The following is a 19696-nucleotide window of genomic DNA, read 5'->3' on the forward strand; positions in this document are numbered from 1 at the left end:
ATAGAGGATCCCACGCCACACCCCAGACCTTCAGGAGTGGAGCCAGAGTATTTCTGGATATTTTTAACAAGGACTTCAGGTGATGCTGATGATCAGCGGGGAAACTGGCAGAGGAAGGATCACATATATTGTGCTTACGTATTTGCAGAGGACAGGGGTCTTACCTCTCGGCCACTGCCCTTGTAACTGCAGTTGCTCCCAGCTGAGCATCCCCTGCACAGCTCAAAATCCCCACTGGGACCTACTTTCCTGCTCCAGTCTGAATCCAGCCACCCTTCTCCTCAATGGAAAGCTGCTGCTGCTGCTGCTATTGTAATAAACTTGGTGGAAGAGGGAAGTGCAAAAAGTCACATGTCTTTCTTGTCCTGTCTCTTAATTCCCCACAAGATGATATGCATATAACAGACTAGGTTAGAGGACTGGGGGTAGCTGACAGGATTTATAAGATGAGAGAAAATATTTTACATTGAGTACTAAGTAAGACTATTCCCACAGTCCAAAGGAAAACAACAGCATAACTAGGAAAACATTATCTAGGAGAAGCACCAGTTTCTATCCTTGCTCCCCTGTCTTGAAGTCAGCCTCCCACCCGTCTGAGAGAGGCTGCCACTTCAATCTAATGCCAGGTCCCACTCTCCGACTCTCTGTTAGAAAGTCCCCTGGGATACGTTCCTATCAGTCCAACACCCTGGACCTAAGACTTCAGAGAGTCTGAGTTATTCAAGAGAGAATACTCCCAGGCTGTGTGAGGATGGGTGTGGTATGGATGGAGTCCTGGAGGGAGGTCTGTAGCAGAGGAGTTCACGGTAGGCTCTGGATCTCCCAGGACCAGCTCTCTGCAGTATCTCTCCATCAGTGAGAGGACAACTGTGCTTCTCTTGCTTCCTGGTTATCCAGCCAGCCCAAGCATGCATTTGTGTGCATGAACACACATACACACACACACATTAACTCAGACATACGCTCTCCTTCACCCACACATACACCATCCAAGAACAAACCATCATCCCCAGTGTTCGAAGACAGCACCTCAGTTTTCAAAGTCCACTTACTTCAATTTCCCCCTGCCTTCAGTGATGAGCTGAGCACAGTAACTCCCTCTCACTCAACCTTCTCATTCAAAACCATGCCTAAACATCTACCACTTAGTAAGAAACATTTCCTACTAATACTGCTTTTCATAGCAACAGTGCTCACTAGCCCCTGTAGTCACTTCTGACTATGCAGAGACCTCATCAAACCATTGCAAGTATAGCTTTTCTTTATGTTGGATTGGGTCCACTCTGGGTTAGGGTGTTTGCCACCCTGGACACTGTAATAAGACATTATTATCAATGGGAATTTATTAAATAAATGAATAGAAGTGGTGTTTGGTTTTCTGTTCCTGTGTTAGTTTACTGAGGATAATGGCTTCCAGCTCCATCCATGTCCCGGCAAAGGACACGATCTCATTCCTTTTTATAGCTGCATAGTATTCCATGGTGTATACGTACCACATTTTCTTTATACAGTCTATTATTGATGGGCATTTGGGTTGATTCCTTACCTATCTAACAAACCTGCACATCCTGCACGTGTACCTCAGAATTTAAAATAAGAATTAAAATAATAAAATAAAATAAATGAATACATCCTTTGGCACTAGATAAAACAGACAGATATAGTTCCTGCCCTCACGGAGCTTATAATCTAGTAAGGAAGATATAAAAACAAATGAACAAACAATATGTATAATTGCAATTGCCATTAGCACTGTGAAGAGAATAAAACTGTGAAATAATAAGCAACAAGGGAAACTCACCAGGCATAGGTGGTCAGGGAGGGCCTTCCTGATGAGATCATAGTATTTGAAGGGTGTTGAGAGTCTTCTCCACAAAGGGATAGCGTCTACAAAGGCCCTGTGGCAGAGAAAGGCTAGGCTTGTGAACAGAAAAGTCAGAGTACTGGGATCCAGAGCATGAGTCTAGAGAGGTGGGCAGGACAGACTATGTAGGAACTGGTAGGTTAAAGTAGTAACTTGGATTTTATTCGGAGGGTGACAAGAATCCATTGAAGGATTTTAAACAGGTAAGTTATATAATTGAATTTTTGTTTCAGAAAGATGACTGTAGATGCTTTGTAGAAAATAAACCAGAGATGGACAAAAAGTCCTATTCAGATCCACCCTGGGTGGGGTATGGGAGTGGGTGGTGAGTTGTTCTCCCAGCTACAAATATCTGCTCATCTTCTAGCCATGGAAACGGCCTGAGCTGAGAATGAGTGTTGCCACACACACCCCTCCCTCCTCCTCCCGTTTCAACCACGCTCTCACCTCCCTCTCTCCCTCTCCTGGTCTCTCTGTCTCTGTCTGTCTGTCTCTCTTTCTCTCTCTCTCATACACACACGCACGCACACACACACACACACACACCTTCTCAGATTCTTCTCTCCTCACCTAATGTGTCCCCATTTGGCCCTTGTTTAAAGTATTTCAATCATGTTTCAGTCCATGTAACTATTATTCCAGTACTTTTAACATGATATGTGACTAATATTGTAATGAAACTCTAATACTGCAGCAAAGTTGAAGCATTTAAAATTGTTGCTCCTTTTAAAATTTTTTAAAATTCAATTCTCAAAACAGCTATTATTCTTGATGCACTATATGGCTCATTCCTATGATTCCAGGCTCTTGTGGAGAGTTAACATTTTTGGGTGGTTTCTCCTTGGTTATCTATCTGCCCTGTTTAGCTAACACTACATGCCATAAGACATAGAATTTGGATTCAGACCAAGACCTAAATGTTAACTCTACAACCTTAGGCAACCTTCTGAGACTCCAGATATTGGTAACTAGAAGAGAATAATAACCTCCTTACAATGTTGTGAGAATTAAGAAACTATTTGTGTTAACAGTGGAGGGTGTCCAGGTTCTTGGAGTCTTGAACAAAGAATTGGACAAAATGCACAAACAAAGCAAGGAAGAAATGGAGGGTTTTATTGTAAAGGAAAGTACACTCCATAGTGTGGGAGCGGGCCTGAGCATAGGGGCTCCAAGTCCACACTATTTAGAATTTTGGGAGTTTCAATATCCTCTAGAGGATTGGGACACATACTACATAAATGAAGAGGATGAAGTAAAGTTGCAAAGTCATTTACTTGGCCTATGCCCTATGGAGAGGATATTTCCTGTCATAGCTGAAGTGTGAATTGTCCTTATGTTTCCTGCCTCCAGACCGTATTTTCCTGCCTCATCTCCTCCCTGAGAGATGTGATCCCATAAATCTTTATGGGAGGCAGAGGGACCGATGATCTTTTTTGGTAACTGCTTCATGCTGGCTTGGGGCATAGTCCTTACCTATTGGGGATCACAGAACTCTCCCTGCTCTATCTAGTGGAGGCAGGGTAGCTTCTTGATGTCCAAGGGTGGTGTCTTCACCTGGAACTGGCTGAAACCTTTGTTGCATCATCATCTGAAGCTTGATGGTCTCTAGGTGAGAGGAAATGAATTTGGTTAAAAGATTTAATGGGAACTTCAGGGGGTGGATACCTATGTTGTCAGAAATGTTTGTTATAGAGATTTGCAGAAGAAAAAAACAAAAGCTAGTCTGTTGTGGAATCCAAGCGTTTCCTTAAAGTCTTAGCACAAATGACTCCATCTGTGTTTGCTTTAGTCTGTTGGGGCCCAGGGCATGAGTGCATGAGCTTAGTCCAAAACAATGGCCTCACAGAGTTTTGTTTTAAAAATCCCCCCTTTTTGGTCAGGTTCTCACTTAGGTGAGTGTGCAACCAAAACTTAGGGCCTTAGTGCCACTTCTCAGTTACCAACATTTTGGGTTTCCAGTCTCAGCACATCATTTATAGGTATGGTGTCCTCATGGTTGAACATTTCTTTCAGCTGTTGTCATTCCAGTCGAAGAGAGACCATTTGATGTTCTAGAGATGGCTGCATGCAAGCATTTAAAACCTTTGAGAGAATACAGTGCACCAAGGAGACTACTATTATCACTACTGGAAGGAAAATACCCAGAGTTCAGAGTATGCTCCTTAACCAGGGTCCCTAGAAACCAAACCACCTACACTTAAATAGTTTAAAGAATGAGCTAGATGAAGAGTCTACTCACTTGACTAAGTGGTCTTTTCATTAATCCCCTACACTGAATTTTTATAATCTGCATTTGACCTGTTTCTCCATAGGCCGCAAGTGTCAGCAGCTGCAGAAGAACTTCTTTGTTTAGCCAATTCTATTTAGCATAACTTTCAAAGAGAATTTAAAATCTGTTGTGTAACGATAGCCTTTAAAGTAGATTTGCTATAGAGCCTATCATGAGGGATACATTTCTAATCATTGCTTCCTTTACTTTAAGCCATGGAAAAAGGACTTAACAAATGATGCCCTTCTAGGAGAGTGAAGACCCCCTGGCAATGTTCTCTTTAACCCATGATGTGGGTTAAGAGGGATGAACCAATATTTTGTTTTTGAGTGATTATGGGGCAACATATGTACCACTAAAGTTTCTTACCTGCATTGGGCCTTCATCTCTATCAAAGTAGAAGGTTATCCATGTATAAGGCTGGCTGCAAACTTCTTCACAAATAAAAGTATACCCCATAAGTGCACATAACAGACCCTTTTTCCACTTCTATTGTTAGTAGAGATATAAGCAAGAAAAAATATTCAAAGATAAGAGTTTCATGATAGTAGAAGTCTTACTCTGTGAACTTGGGAAAAGCTGTTCACTTCAAGGATGCCATCTTCTTCTTCTTGGGAGAAATTTCTCTGGTTAGCTTTACCTCAAGGGTTCCAATGGGTGCACAATTCCAAAAGTGTGGAGGGAACCTTTTCAGTGGCGAGACCATGAACCCAAAGCCCAGGGTCCCGAAGTTTAGTTGCAGTGAGGATGGTAAGGAGAGTCTTTCTCTGGTGTTCTCAGAAGATTCAAACCATAAAAAGCTTTTTTACCTGGTGCAAATACACTGTAGCATAATAATCTACTGTGATAACATCAGCCCTCTCACGTGGGAAAGCTTTTATACAACCAGAAAGCATGCATTGGAAATAACAATTGAATGAAATCCCTTTATAAAATGTTTAAATGGCCCACAAGGTGACCAAATGTACATGAAGCTTTAATTGTCTTCCCAGGAATATGGGACCAAGCATTGGTTATAAACTATCTTAAAAATTTCAGTATCAGCTGGTTTAACATGAAAGTCTGACAAAGTATTTTATTGGTATTTAATTAATTTTTGTTCTACTTGGGTTAGTAGCTTTATACAAGGAAATTTGGTTATTTGTGTGGTTTACAATAACTTAACATAATACCCATAATTATAATTGATAGCATGTACTATTTTAGGAATCCCATACAATTTTGGAACATATATTAGTATTATTCACAAAAAAAACTTAAAGAACACGGAACATCATTTTGGCAATCCCATGTACCTAAACACATCAAATAATCCTGTTTACCTCCTTTCTGGATGTTTTCAGGGGCCCTCTGATCCATCCAGAAAGCCAGGCATTAGGAAAGACAATTTTGAAACTGAAGTTTGATTTTGGAATTCCAGATTATTTATTTTGCCAAAATAATGACTCAGAAATTTTAAAGAAGTAAAAACCTTTTACAAAACACACACAGAGACATACATTCTACTATTCTTACACACCGTGCATGTAAAACCGTTTCTAGTAGTCTTAATTGCATGTTACAATGGTGACTCTTAGCAATTTTAACTTTAATGTAAAACCTGGTAAGTTATGTTCTGAAAAGGTTTGACTGTTTGCAGCATAGCTAGGGGCATGGCCAACTCCACATGTTCCCAGGCCTTACCTAGCTGGAAAGCAGGCAAGTTAAACAATTTTCAAAAGCCAAATAAGCAGTTTATGACCTTAAAGCATTCAGCAAACCTAATATTGGAACATAATTTAGACCACATGTTTCCATTTTAAAGACATTGTATTTTACCAATAATCTTTAAAACCCTCTTTATTTCCCAAAAATTGCTAAAGTCACGTGAACTAAAAGGCATTACGCTTTCTACTTTCCTGATGAAATATTTGATTTAAGCTCTTATTATTATTAAACCAATTAATTTAAAACTTTACAATGGAGATTAGCCAGTTTGCACAGAGAGAAAGAGGCCAGAGACTGGCTAGTAAGAAATTCTTACCCTTTAGCTGGTATGCTAGGTTTCAGGATTCTCTCTCTCTGAGTGGCCCTAGCAACTATGCCCTATGGAGAAGATATTTTCTGTCATAGCTGAAGTGTGAATTGGCCTTATGTTCCCTGCCTCCAGACCCTATTTTCCTGCCTTATATGTAAACTGTCTAGTTCACATACTTGGGGAGTAGTATCATATATGCAAATGTTAAGCAAACATCATTAAATTTTGACTTCTGAAGATTCACATTTTCCCATTATTTCTGCCCACCACCTACTTTCTCTGCCTTCATGCATCCAATTCCTCTTCCATTCTCCCTTCTTCACACACCTGCCCTAGTCTCTCGTTTGCTGAGCCCTTACTGCTCTGCTGTCATCTTCCTGCTTTTGCCTACCCTCCATCTATGTCTCGCCACGACCTCAGCAAGGATGCGTGGGGGGAGACCTCATTGAAATTGTTTCTTTCAACAGCAATATCTACTTATTTCAGCCTATCCCCTTCCCAAGGCCTGAGGGTGTTGGGAACAGAGTCATGTGCCATAATACAAGTAACAGTGGTGGAGAAACAGATCAGAAACAAGGGCTGCCAGCAAGCGCCCTGTGGCTTATGAGTGATAATGAAGGTGCTGAGGGATTTGGGGTTATGATCAAACTTGAAGTGATCCTAGGAAAGTCGGACTGGGATGCAATAGTGCCTGGAGAAGTCAGACATCATGCCCTCTGTCTATATGTTCAAATTCTCCAGAGCTGGCCCAATTCACCAGCACCACTGTGCCTCCAGTTCAGCTGCATAGCACATTGCTGATTGTCAAACTGGCCTTATTGTCTTAATTTGGAGTAGTCATCACACTACTCATCCCTAGCATTCAACAGCACTTCTTGAAAGAAATTTGCACATTGTTACTTAAGGATTACCAAATTTAAAAAAAAAAAAAAGTTTCTTTGTAATAAAATTCACTCACCCCCAAAGATACAGTAACTGATGATTCAGAAGCTCATTCAAGATCTTTCAGTGCCTCAAACTTATTATTATATACATCATTTTTTGCTCCGTATGCATAGATGCCTGTCTAGAGGGAATTCTGCTTAATAAAATTCCAGATTAGTCTACTATAATACAAATTATAATAACATTAAAAGTATTTAAGCATGCTTATTGCTAGTAGTAAAAACAAAGTGATTTAGCTCAAAGTGATTATTCAAGCAGGAATAATAATAATAAATAATATTAACTGCTAGTACTTATATAGTCATTCCTGGGTGTCACACATTTTTTATATTTACTCTTGACATCCCATGAGGTAGGTACTATTATTATTTCCATTTTACAGATTGGGAAATTGAGGAAGATCACAAAACTAATGAATGGTAAAATCAAAGATCCAACCCAAAAAATTCAGGCTCTAAGTTCTGCAAATTAACTACCAGGCTTCACTCCTCCTCTTTCTTTCATTCAAACATTGTCACTTTTAAAATAGATATGTTTTAGAAAATGTTTATTCACAAAAGTAGCTGAGAAATAAATGTATAACCAAACATTAAACTTTATAGTAGATCCCAGGCCAGTGTAAACACACACTTGCTGAAAATGAAAGGGGCAGTAGGCTATATTGCTTTCTTACGTAAATATGGACACAGATCCCACACATCCTCCTTACTCACTGACATGCCCAAGGCCAAAGAAACACGAACAAGGGTCCTGCTTCCCAGGTGTGGGCACAAAGATGACTCAGCTCTACAGCAGCCTGGGGACATAGAGATGTCTACACACAAGATGCACCCGGGAGCCCCTTCTTGGGGAAGATTCATTTCTCATAAAATGAAGAGGTGTTCATCCATTTAGCAAATGTTTCTTGAACACTAACTCTATGCTAGGTATTCTTCTTTGCTTTTGGGATTCAACAGTGAGAAAAACAGACAAAAATCCTGCAAGAAGTTTATGTTTTAGTGGAGAAAACAGACAATAACAGACAAATATAAAATATATAGTAAATTGGATAATTATAGGTGCATAAGAAAAAATGTAAAGCAAGGAAAGGAAATAGAGTTGAACACAGTTGTAAGTTAAGACACAAGTGAAAATAGAGACCTTTCTCAGAAGATGCTATTTGAGTTACAAAAAGCATCTTCTTGCTCCTCCTTATCATGAAATTACAACCCAAAGGATGAACTTCTGAAGATTACACTGTGAAAATGGTTGTTGGACCTCCACTATTTCAACCATTTGGAATCAGCCAACATAAAACACAAAACATGTAAAACAAATAATTTAAAAAGAATCAAAATAGAGCTTTCACAGATTTACCTGTCTGAGGGTTGGGGCAGGGGAAAGAAAAGCTCCTTCATACATTGAACCGACATGTTATTTGCTCTGTCTTCCATTGCTGATGTGGTCTATGTGGGCAATTCCAAGTCCAAAGGTTTAGATGAGTTTTTTTCACCTAATTGGAATGAATAAATACTTTAATGTCCTGCCAACTCAGCCTCAGCTAAATGGCTAGAAGCAAAATAAACTGCTATTAGAATTTTCTAGTCGGAAAACTAGCTCTACTGGAAGTAAGTATGAGGTATGGCAGAGACAGAGGAAGAAGTTTGCTCCTAAGTTGGGGATGCTTGAGCCAGCTCTTGACCATATAGATGAGTGCCAAAGAAAGCATTCCAGTAGCAATAGCAAGTCCAAAGGCATGCAGGCTGAGAATGCTTAGGATGTGCAAGGAATCACTGGGCATTCCATATTCTCAGCACACAATGCAAAAGCAGGGAAACAGATCAGTGCAGAACCACCTTCAAAGTGCCCCACCTTTCACTCCTAGTGCAGCATCTTAATTCCCAGTGTTCTGGTGGTTGAACAGAATCTCAAAGCTTGTAGCTAGATACTGTATGCAGCACTTTAAGGGGGTGGGGAGGGGGAACTGAAAACCCAGGATGAAGGACAGCGGCCCTGCCTGAGAAGGCTGCACTTCCATCTCTGCAGATCTGAGGGTGTGTTTCCTGCTGATGATCCCAGGATGACAAAACACTCATTAGGGCGCTTCCAGGCAGTGGTGGCAGCCAGGGTGAGCCAGGACTCAGCCATCCAGGACTCCCTTTTAGGCCACGTTAGATTTGAGCATTATCGTGTGGCTGGGGGTTGCTGCTGAGCCCTCCTAAACAAGAGAATGACATGATCTTCTGCTTCACAAGTTTATTTATTTTTTATTATACTTTAAGTTTTAGGGTACATGTGCACAACGTGCAGGTTTGTTACATATGTATACGTGTGCCATGTTGGTGTGCTGCACCCATTAACTCGTCATTTAACATTAGGTGTATCTCCTAATGCTATCCCTCCCCACTCCCCCCACTCCACAACAGGCCCCAGTGTGTGATGTTCCCCTTCCTGTGTCCATGTGTTCTCATTGTTCATTCCCACCTATGAGTGAGAACACGCGGTGTTTGGTTTTTTGTCCTTGCAAAAGAAACTACCATCAGAGTGAACAGGCAACCTACAGAATGGGAGAAAATTTTTGCAATCTACTCATCTGACAAAGGGCTAGTATCCAGAATCTACAATGAACTCAAACAAATTTACAAGAAAAAAACAAACAACCCCATCAAAAAGTGGGCAAAGGATATGAACAGACACTTCTCAAAAGAAGACATTTATGCAGCCAAAAAACACATGAAAAAATGCTCATCATCACTGGCCATCAGAGAAATGCAAATCAAAACCACAATGAGATACCATCTCACACCAGTTAGAATGGCGATCATTAAAAAGTCAGGAAACAACAGGTGCTGGAGAGGATGTGGAGAAATAGGAACACTTTTACACAGTTGGTGGGACTGTAAACTAGTTCAACCATTGTGGAAGTCAGTGTGGCAATTCCTCAGGGATCTAGAAGTAGAAATACCATTTGACCCAGCCATCCCATTACTGGGTATATACCCAAAGGATTATAAATCATGCTGCTATAAAGACACATGCACACGTATGTTTATTGTGGCACTGTTCACAATAGCAAAGACTTGGAACCAACCCAAATGTCCAACAATGATAGACTGGATTAAGAAAATGTGGCACATATACACCATGGAATACTATGAAGCCATAAAAAATAATGAGTTCATGTCCTTTGTAGGGACACGGATGAAGCTGGAAACCATCATTCTCAACAAGTTTATTTTAAAGTAGAGGGCATAATATTTATTAGTATCATTATTATTATTATTTAAATCTCAACAGCTTTAGTGGTACAAGTGGCTTTTGTTTCCATGGATGAATTGTTTAGCAGTGAAGTCTGGGCTTTGGGTGTACCCTTTGCCCGAGTAGTGTACATTGTATCCAATAGGTGATGTTTCATCCCTCACCTCCCATCTTTCCCCCTTCTGAGTCTCCAGTGTGCATTACTGCTCTCTGTATGACTTTGCATACCCATATCTTAGCTCCCATTTGTAAGTGAAGACATGTGGTATTTGGTTTTCCATTCCTGAGTTACTTTACTTAGATTAATGGCCCCCAGTTCCAAGCAAGTTACTGCAGAAGACATTATTTTATTCTTCTTTATGGCTGAGAAGCATTATTACATGGTTTATATACACCACATTTTCTTTATCAGCTCATCAATTGATGGACATTTAGGTTGACTCCACATCTTTGCATTTGTAAATTGTGCTGCAATAAACATACAAGCACAGTTGTCTTTTTTGTATAATGATGTCTTTTCCTTTGGGTAGATACCCAGTAGTGGGATTGCTAGATGGAATGGTAGATCTACTTTTAGTTCTTTGAGAAATCTCCTTAGAGTTTTCCATAAAGGTTGTACTAAATTGCATTCCCACCAGCAGCATATAAGTGGTCCCTTTGAAGTACTGCTTTTCCAGTTTTTGAAACATATGATGGCTTTGTGATGTTTGTAGGATGAATGAGGGAGTACAAGACAGACCAAGCAGGAAGAAACAAATTCCTTCCACTCCCTGAGGAGGACAGCATTCGAATCCTTAAACTTGAGAGGAGAACTGACTCACAGTGATTTTACTGGCACCATCTGAAAAATCAATACAAGCAACTTGACTTTCTGAGGATCATCTGAGGAGTTTTCCATGTGTCTGTTGCATCATGCCAGCTATAGCAAATATTCTTTTGCTTAGAAAAGTCAGTGGAAAGAAGTGAGACTGCAAGACATGTAACAAATTGGGTCACTGAGTTTTTGAATTGAGTAGTTGTTTAGTAAAGCAGGGCATACTATATACTATATGCCATGAAAATATTCATGGGGACATGAGGAAAGTGGTAATAAGCCAAAGAACACACACACAAAAAATGCTGAACAGGAAAAAGGATCTTATTTGGTTCAGTGAACTCAGCCTCTTTGAAACTTTAAACCTCTCTCTGACTATGCTCTTGCAGCTCTCAATCAACTGTTCTATATAAATATGGAAGTATTTCAAGCTTGTTTGTACTCTCTGCTTCAGTGACCCTGCAGACAATTTATCCCACACTGTTTACAAGGCTGTATGAAATCCACAGTTCTGTCTGAATTCTTTTTTTCCCCTTTAAAGGTTTGGCTGCCTCCTGGTTTGGGCTCCCTTTGACTTATGAGAATAATTTGTTGCACTCTACCCCTTCCTTCTGATGTTATGCTTCATTAGCCCCAAAGTCCCAAAGTTCCTCTTCTCCAAAATTTCCCCTGGTGTCTTCAACTTTTCTTCCAGGAACAAGTTCTAGGCTGTGTTCAGAGTCAGCAATGCCTGCTGGCTTATTCTTCTGCACCCTGGCTACTTCAAACTGTCTTGACCAGTAATCCCAGCAAAGCTAAGGTCTTAGAGACATTCATACTCCAATCTATAAAAGTCTCTCCATAGGATTTGATTTTCAATTACATTGTCATGAGAAAGTGCTGAAGGAGGAAATTCATTTGTGAAATCAATATGCATGTTGAAATGATTTGTGACAGAGCTAACTATCAGATATAAATTTTTCAAAATCATTTAGAATGATCAGTTTTGCATTGGTGATGGAATAGCTTTTTCTTACTACCTCTGTTCCAAAATATAACTACAATATGTGGGATTATTTTACTGTAATCTTGACACTGTTCTTTTTTCCTATATGAATGCCACATTTAGTATCTCAAATTTGATGCAATAATTTAGATGGGTAATGTGGTCATTGTGTATGAAGAATAGCATTTTTATTTTGTTTTGAAACTGAGTCTTACTCTGTCGCTCAGGCTGAAGTGCAGTGATGTGATCACAGCTCGCTAAGCCGCAACCTTCTGGGCTCAAGCAATCCTCCTGCCTCAGCCTCCCAAGTAGCTGAGATCACAGGCATGTGTTACCACACACAGCTAATTTTGCATTTTTTGTAGAGATGGGATCTCATTATGTTGCCAGGCTGGTTTTGAACTCCTGGGCTCAAGCAATCCTCCCACCTTGGCCTCCCAAAGTGCTTTGATTACAGGCATGAGCCACTGCACCCGGCAAAGGATAGCATTTTTACAGGTGTTTATTTCCTTATAATACACTTTTTTCTCTACATAAACCTCCATGGTTCTAACTTGAGCTGGGGGAGAGAGAGCAAGTAGGGAGACTGTCAAGACCTTAGGAACAGGGTTCAGGAATTGGGGAGAGACCAAAGTCACCAAAAACAGCCAGAGCAGTTACAGGGGGAAATAGTCTGGTTTATAAAGGCGGGTCTTTAGGAAGGCACTTGAGTGAGCCAATGCCAATGTCCAAAGCAGCGGGGACCTCAGCCATCACTCTCTCCTTTCTTGTCATGTCGATTTTCTGAATAAGTTGCCTACACTTCCTCAGTCTGTGTTTGCTCCTTTACTTACTGCAGTCTGGTTTCTGCTATGCACACACACACACTGGCACACACAAACACATACTCACACACACACAACTGCGACTGAAATTGCTGTGTTCTTTGAAGGACGTCGCTTCTGTCCTTTCCTTGTCTGAACTCCCTGCAGCACTTAACACACTGTTGAATATTCCCTCATCAAAACGTGTTCTTCCCCTAGCTTTCAAAGACCCCATACTTCTCTGGTATTCCTCTGGCCATTCCTTTCCAATACCTTTCTCTGCATCTTTTTTCTCAACTCTTCTTTTATTTTTGTTATTATTTTTTTTGAGATGGAGTCTTTCTCTGTTGCCCAGGCTGGTGTGCAGAGGCATGAAATTGGCTCACTGCAATCTCCAACTCCCAGGTTCAAGCGATTCTCCTGTCTCAGCCTCCTGAGTAGCTTGGATTACAGGTGCCCGCCACCATGCCCAGCTAACTTTTTTTTTTTGTATTTTTGTAAAGACGGGGTTTCACCATGTTGGCCAGGCTGATCTTGAACTCCTGACCTCAGGTGATCCACCCACCTTGGGCTCCCAAAGTGCTGGGATTATAGGCCTAAGCCTCTGCTCCTGGCCTACAATTCTTCTTTTAAATGTCCATGTTCCCCAGATACTTGTCCTTGGCTATCTTTTTTTTCACTTCACATAATCATGTCCACTCCCATGGCCTCATTTCCATCCACATGCTGTTGACTCTCTGCCGACTTACAATCTAACTACCTTCTGCCCCAAACTCAGCACATCCGAAACTAAGTTCCTCATCTTCCTGCCATGATGCCCGCAACCTTCTCCTTCTCTTGCTGACTCTGCTCACACGTGCCTCCACCGACTGCCTCACCTCCATTCAAACAACCACAACATCCTCACCTTCAGGCCTCCCTAGAGTTCGTGAATTCACACACCTCTCCCTAATATCACTGCCCTGTTTCAGGCCACACAGCTAGGATCCTTAACTGGTTTTCTAGCTTCTAAGCTCATCTTCCTGCAATCCAATCTCCAATCTACAGCCAAAGACATTTCTCTAAAAAGAAAATCTGACCCATCATGTGCCATCATTCAGTGGCTTTCCATTGAGCTAAGAATAAAGATAAAATTTCTCCAGTGGGTCCAAGGCCTTGGGGCACCACCCCTCAATACTTCATATCTTACCACTCTCCTAACTTCCTTCAACACACCCACACCCATCTTTATATACACTGCTGTCTTTGTCTGGGACACCAATTCCTCCCTCATCCCTAATGCCTGGCTAGATCATACACATCCGTGCTTTTCACTGAGACATCAATTTCTCCAGGGAATCATCTGTGATATTTCCAGGCAGGGTATCTCCTACAGGTTTCCTATCACCTGCTGTTAATGGAAAATGCAGCACTCACCCCTGGAGTGATTCATCTGTCTCCCCTCCCGCATGGTACTCTGAGCTCCTGCAAGCAAGGCTGCAGGCTATCTCGCAGCCCAGTGTGAAGCACATGAAACCCCCTCAATAAAAAGTCCACACATGAATGAGTGATAACCTAAGAAAAATAGAAGTAAAATTTCCTCATGTGCATCAGTGTTTCCATAAGGAATCCATTTAAATTAACAAAAGAATTTTCACTTTTAAATGTTTGTCTATAAGCTACACAATGTCCCATAAAACAAATGAAAACAGAAAAAAAAAATCTTAGTTTAAATGTTTTTTCCAAGTCATGTACTGCGTAAAGCTCAGCACAGCCTCTTTCAGTGTTTGCAGGTCCCGATCTCTGGCTGCCCCAGGCTTTGGACCCGTTCCTTTCAGCTTCTTGTGAGGCAGGAGTGGGAGTACTGTGCTCTCCACCCCATGCCCTTACTGTGGACTGTGCAGCCCCCAGCTGTTACTAATTCTCTTCTGGAACCACTTTCTCCTTGTTGAAGGAGCCCCTATGACTCAGCAGCCTGTAAATGAGTTAGACCTTTTTGCTCAAAGCAGACTGAACACAATGAACCACCGCATACTACGTGGCAATTAAATTAGAGAAACATTGAACAGATCTCTGCATAGTCAGAAGGTACCTGCTTATAAACTGCAAGTAGCTAGAATCTTTTTTCTCAAGGCAAGATCACAATTCAACCATGCTCAGCCACGTTGTCATAGTGAATGCTAAACTACAAGTAATTTCTAGTGAAGGAAGCATGTTATTAGTCCTCGGTGCTCCAGTTTCCCCCCACAGAATAAAGATGTATTTTATCAAAAATAACTTATACCTTGGCATCCAGTGTAATGCAAATTTGATAAAAATATAAAACTCTGTTAAAATTAGAGACATGAGGACACCAAAACTTATTCTTCCTGTTTAACTGTAACTTTGTACCCATTGACCAAACTCTTCTGGTTCCCTCCCTCCACCCTCCCCAGCCTCTGTTAACCACTATAGCAAATAACAATGCAGTGAATATTTTAAGATAGCTAGAAGAAATGAGAAATGTTTAAAGTGGCGGATATGGTAATTACCCCAATTTGATCATTATATTATGCATACACACGTCAAAATATCACATTGTATCCTGTAAATATGTACAATTATTGTATCCATTATACATTTTTAAAATTAAGCAAAAGTAAAAGACCAAGAACATGAAATCCTTTAGCTCACACAATATGCAGACTGAGAACTTTGGTGAATTTTAGAAGTGCAGGTTTCAGATTGTGCCCTGAATGTGCTAATACAGGGTGTATACATGATCTGTTCCTAATGTGTATGAAGACGGACTTTTTGTAAATAGCTTAATGAATATTTATTGTAATCACAGTATAGAGTTTATCCTAAATTTTTACTTCTTTGCACCTCGTTAGAGACTGAATACAGAAACTGAAAGATTAGCAGCTTCAAAGAATTTTAAATACATATCTGGAATGTCTGCTATTATAGGTCCTGTAGTTCTATAGGTTCTGTGATTCACTAACAATTACTCAGCATTGAGTATTAGGAAAGCACAGACTCTGTCCTCAGGTTACTCACAGTCTGGTTGGGGGCAGAAGGAGAAGTAGAAAAGAAAAAGAAGAAGAAACAAACATGTGCAGGATGTCTGCTGTGTGTCAGGCACTATATGAGATGATATATACATTTCACTGAATCTCCACGAAAATCCCATGTGGTTTGGATTATTATCTCTCTCTTCCAGAGAAAGAAACAGAGGTTCAGAGGGATACATTCCCCAAGATCACACAGCTTGTAACTTGCTGCAGAGCAATGCGATAAGAGCTGCACTAGCCAGAGAAGGAGGTTGCCCATGTGATAAGTACAGTGAGAACAAATAGGAAAGTGAGAAGGGGCTTTGCTTTGTTGGACAGCATGAGTTTAAAGATTCTGGTTTTGACATCTAAGTTATTCCTGAGAAGATGTGCTTTAGACAGCTGGATAAATGGGTCTGGAGGTCAGAAGAGAGCCAAAGCTGAAGGCACGAATGAGATCCTTTGGGATTATGTACAAATCCAAAAGAAAAAAGGCTGAGGATTGAACTCTGTGGCTTTTAAGAAAACAGTACTTAAGCGGTACATAGGCTGGACATGATGGCTCACACCTGTAATCCCTGCATTTTGGAAGGCCAAGGCAGGGGGATCACTTCAGGCCAGGAATTGGATACCAGCCTGGGGGCAACATTGCAAGACGTCCTTACAGAAAAATACAAAAATTAGACACGCAGGGAGGTGTGTGCATGTAGTCCCAGCTACCTTGAGAGGAGGAGATGGAAGGATAGCTTGAGCCTAGGAAGTTGAGGCTGTAGGGAGCCAAGATCATGCCTCTGCACTCCAGCCTGTGTGACAGAATGAGACCCTGTCTCAAAAAAAAAAAAAAACATAAAGAAGAGGAATCCACCAAAAAGACTAATAAGAAGCAGGAGAACATAGCATCATGGAGTAAAAGCTACAAAAGAGGAGCAGGTGTCAGAGGAGGCTTGCATTGAATTATTGAATTTTGCTGTTAATATGGGAAGGCCTGGGTTGTGTTATGACCTAGGAGGTAGCCCATGGCATGCAGAGGCAAGAGATGAACAGGAAGGGGGCCATCTTCTCCCTCTAGACGGCAAGCTCCACCTAGCACATCAGGCCAGCCTTGTCTTCTAGATCTAGAATAGGGCTATCCATAGTCTCAGAAATGCTTGTTGAATGACTGAATTAATGACTTAATCAACTAATGCTTAAAGATGTGAGGTCCTAGAGAAGAGGGGAGGAAATAAAATCCAGAGCAAGGATGGTGACCTCAGCGCTGGACAAGAGGAGGTTCACCTCTTCCTTTGAAACTAGAGTCACCAACACCAAGCATTCTGCTCAGAATAGAGGAGACACTCATGTTTGTGAACCAAATCAATGAATTCTGCTCAGAGCATTATAACTCATCCATGTTCCTTAATTTCATGGTTAGAAGGTTTTATTGAAAAACTTAAGTCCAGTAAACTAAGTTGGACTTTGGTCACCAACAATGATTCAATGATTTTTAGTAGACATGCTAAAATGGCCTTCTCTTGATTTTTAATTATGAATGGCATAAGCCCTTTGCTGTTGATAGTTTAATATTACATTTGACAAAGGAAACTGGTTATTGAGCATTGTGGAAATTAGGTTATTTTCAAATCTGATGGAGATTCTCATGCTACTATAATATAGGATTTATCCATGAATATTTATGGATAAATAAAATATAAGATGCATACAAATAAGAATGAAGTCTAGAAATTTGCCTTTCTAACTTGGTACTAATCCAACGGATGAGCAAAGAGACCATAGGAGAAAAAGAGGTAAAATGTTAAGAAACTCTTTTAAAAAGATAATCAGACAAGCCTAGAATCTCATAGGCTATGTCAAAAGAAATGTAAATGTGTGGAGAATTGAGAAATGGCTCAGGAGGGTTTATCTTTTCCATTTGTGTTCTCCAAATGCCATCCGAGGCAGCACTGTGACCCTGGCTCCCAGATAAGAGCAGAGCCTGTGCCAGAGTCAGTGACCTCTGTCACAGAAATGCTGACTGTCTCAGTTCCCTCTGCATTTGCATTTTCTTCCCTGACTTGGAAAGTCTGCATTTCCACATGCAGGCTTCCATACTCCAGTTGAAAGATCATGTGGCTGCCTGTCTAGCCCTCCACTGACAGAAATACAAAGCCAGCCATTTTCAAATGATCTGACTGCCCCTATGGGTTATGGAACACTGGAGAATCATGGCAGCTTCTCCCATTGTTCAATGGGTAAACTTGTGTAGCTCTTGTCCTAGATTCCTAAGGGGACACCAATTTTCTCCAAACTCCTCCCAACCCCAATGTTTTCCTCAAGGAATGAAGTTTGGATAATAAAACATGATAAAGTAATTTCCTTTCCTCCCCATTCCCATTGTTGCCACATGGACAACTGGGATTGAATGACTGAAACAACTTGGAAAACTGCTACAATCTCCACATTGCTGTCTCCCATATGTGATCCATGCTGAGCCACGCTGGCAGATACAACTTCTGAGCACATAAGTGATTTTCCATTTTGAAGCCATGTTCAAGAACATGCAATGGCTCCTGTTGCCTTCCAGGTCAAGTCTCCCTTCAGGCAGCTTTGAAGACCTTCAGAATTTGGCTCCATTCCTACTTGTTCACACTCCTGCCCTCCAAGTCACCCTCCTCCTGGATAGAACCACCTCCTTTCTGCACAGGGCCATTCTCATCTCTGCCCCACTGCCTACCCTGGCCTGTCTCCATTCCTCCACCAGTGGGAGTGCCTCCCCACAACACCCCTTTCCCAACTCCTTGCCTGTCTCTCCAGGGCCAGGTTAAGCCCCACTCTCTGAGGAGTTCCCTGCTGGTGACACTGGCAGAAAGAGAGGAATCTTTCTGCCTGAGGCAGACAGTCCAAACAAGGATACACTTAATTGTATTTTGTTTGTGGGGGCTCCCTTGGAAATATATCTTAGACTTATTTCTACATTCCCTCTATAACTAGGGAAAGGCAAAGCCAATAGTAGGCATACATACTTACTGGGCCCTTGATTGTAGAGCCCCTACCTGTCTTCTTGCCCTGAGGCCACAGGGATCTATCTCTAGTTGAATGTCTGCAGCTGGGGAGCCAGGTATTAACATTCTTACTACAAACCCAATTCTCACATTACCTCTTTAGCAAATGCAGATCTTTACTGGTTGAGTCAGAGAGAAGCTTCTATAAATTCATTCAGTGTTAACCAAATTTTAATGTTAGCCTCTGGCGGGTTTTCGCTGCTTTCTCAGATATGTGCAGTTGGTTTCAAATCTGTGTCCTATTTGAAATGTGATAAGAAGCTAAAGAGAGTAATTGATGGGGGAGCTTATGGCTATGGAAACTAAGCTTCCTTTGGTCATCCTCAGCTCCTTTATGTCATCTGCTAGCCGGGACCAAGATCACATATTCACATTGCTTGAAAACCTTTTTATGATTTCAAATGGCACCATTTCAGGGCTACTTACATTTAGTGTCTGTTTCAATACTTTTGACTCATTGAGGAGCGACATGGTGGCTGATGTACACAGAAATGGAACTGGGAATTCTTGGTTTAACTCTTAAAACCCTGTTCCTCAGATGCTTACAGAAGATCCAGACCTTTCCTAGACCCTCAAAAATCCCTTTTGTCAATCATTTCAAATATTAGAATTAGCTTCCCCTGAGATTTTTTACTCTAAATGTTAATTATACATTAACAGAAGAACTAGAAATAAATAGCATTTATATTTTTGGTTTTCTGTGATTATTTATG

At 41.0% G+C, this 19696-nt stretch overlaps 1 long non-coding RNA gene across 4 annotated transcripts in view; it reads right to left on the reverse strand.

Moving 5' to 3' along the window:
• LOC102723490 (uncharacterized) overlaps positions 1–19696 on the reverse strand; it is a 113878-nt gene that overhangs the window by 22778 nt on the left and 71404 nt on the right. For 2 of the 4 annotated variants that reach the window (XR_001749825.2, XR_001749828.2), the window contains exons 4-6: positions 7109–8587; positions 3338–4908; positions 1802–1898 (exon numbers count right to left, since the gene is read on the reverse strand). This is a non-coding gene — a long non-coding RNA (uncharacterized LOC102723490). Of the gene's footprint in view, positions 1–164; positions 321–1801; positions 1899–3337; positions 4909–7108; positions 8588–19696 lie in introns of all 4 variants that reach the window. The other 2 variants (XR_007063757.1, XR_001749824.2) reach the window with 2 other exon arrangements.

The sequence above is a fragment of the Homo sapiens genome, chromosome 13, assembly GCF_000001405.40.
Source record: "Homo sapiens chromosome 13, GRCh38.p14 Primary Assembly".
Taxonomy (NCBI): Eukaryota; Metazoa; Chordata; class Mammalia; order Primates; family Hominidae; genus Homo; species Homo sapiens.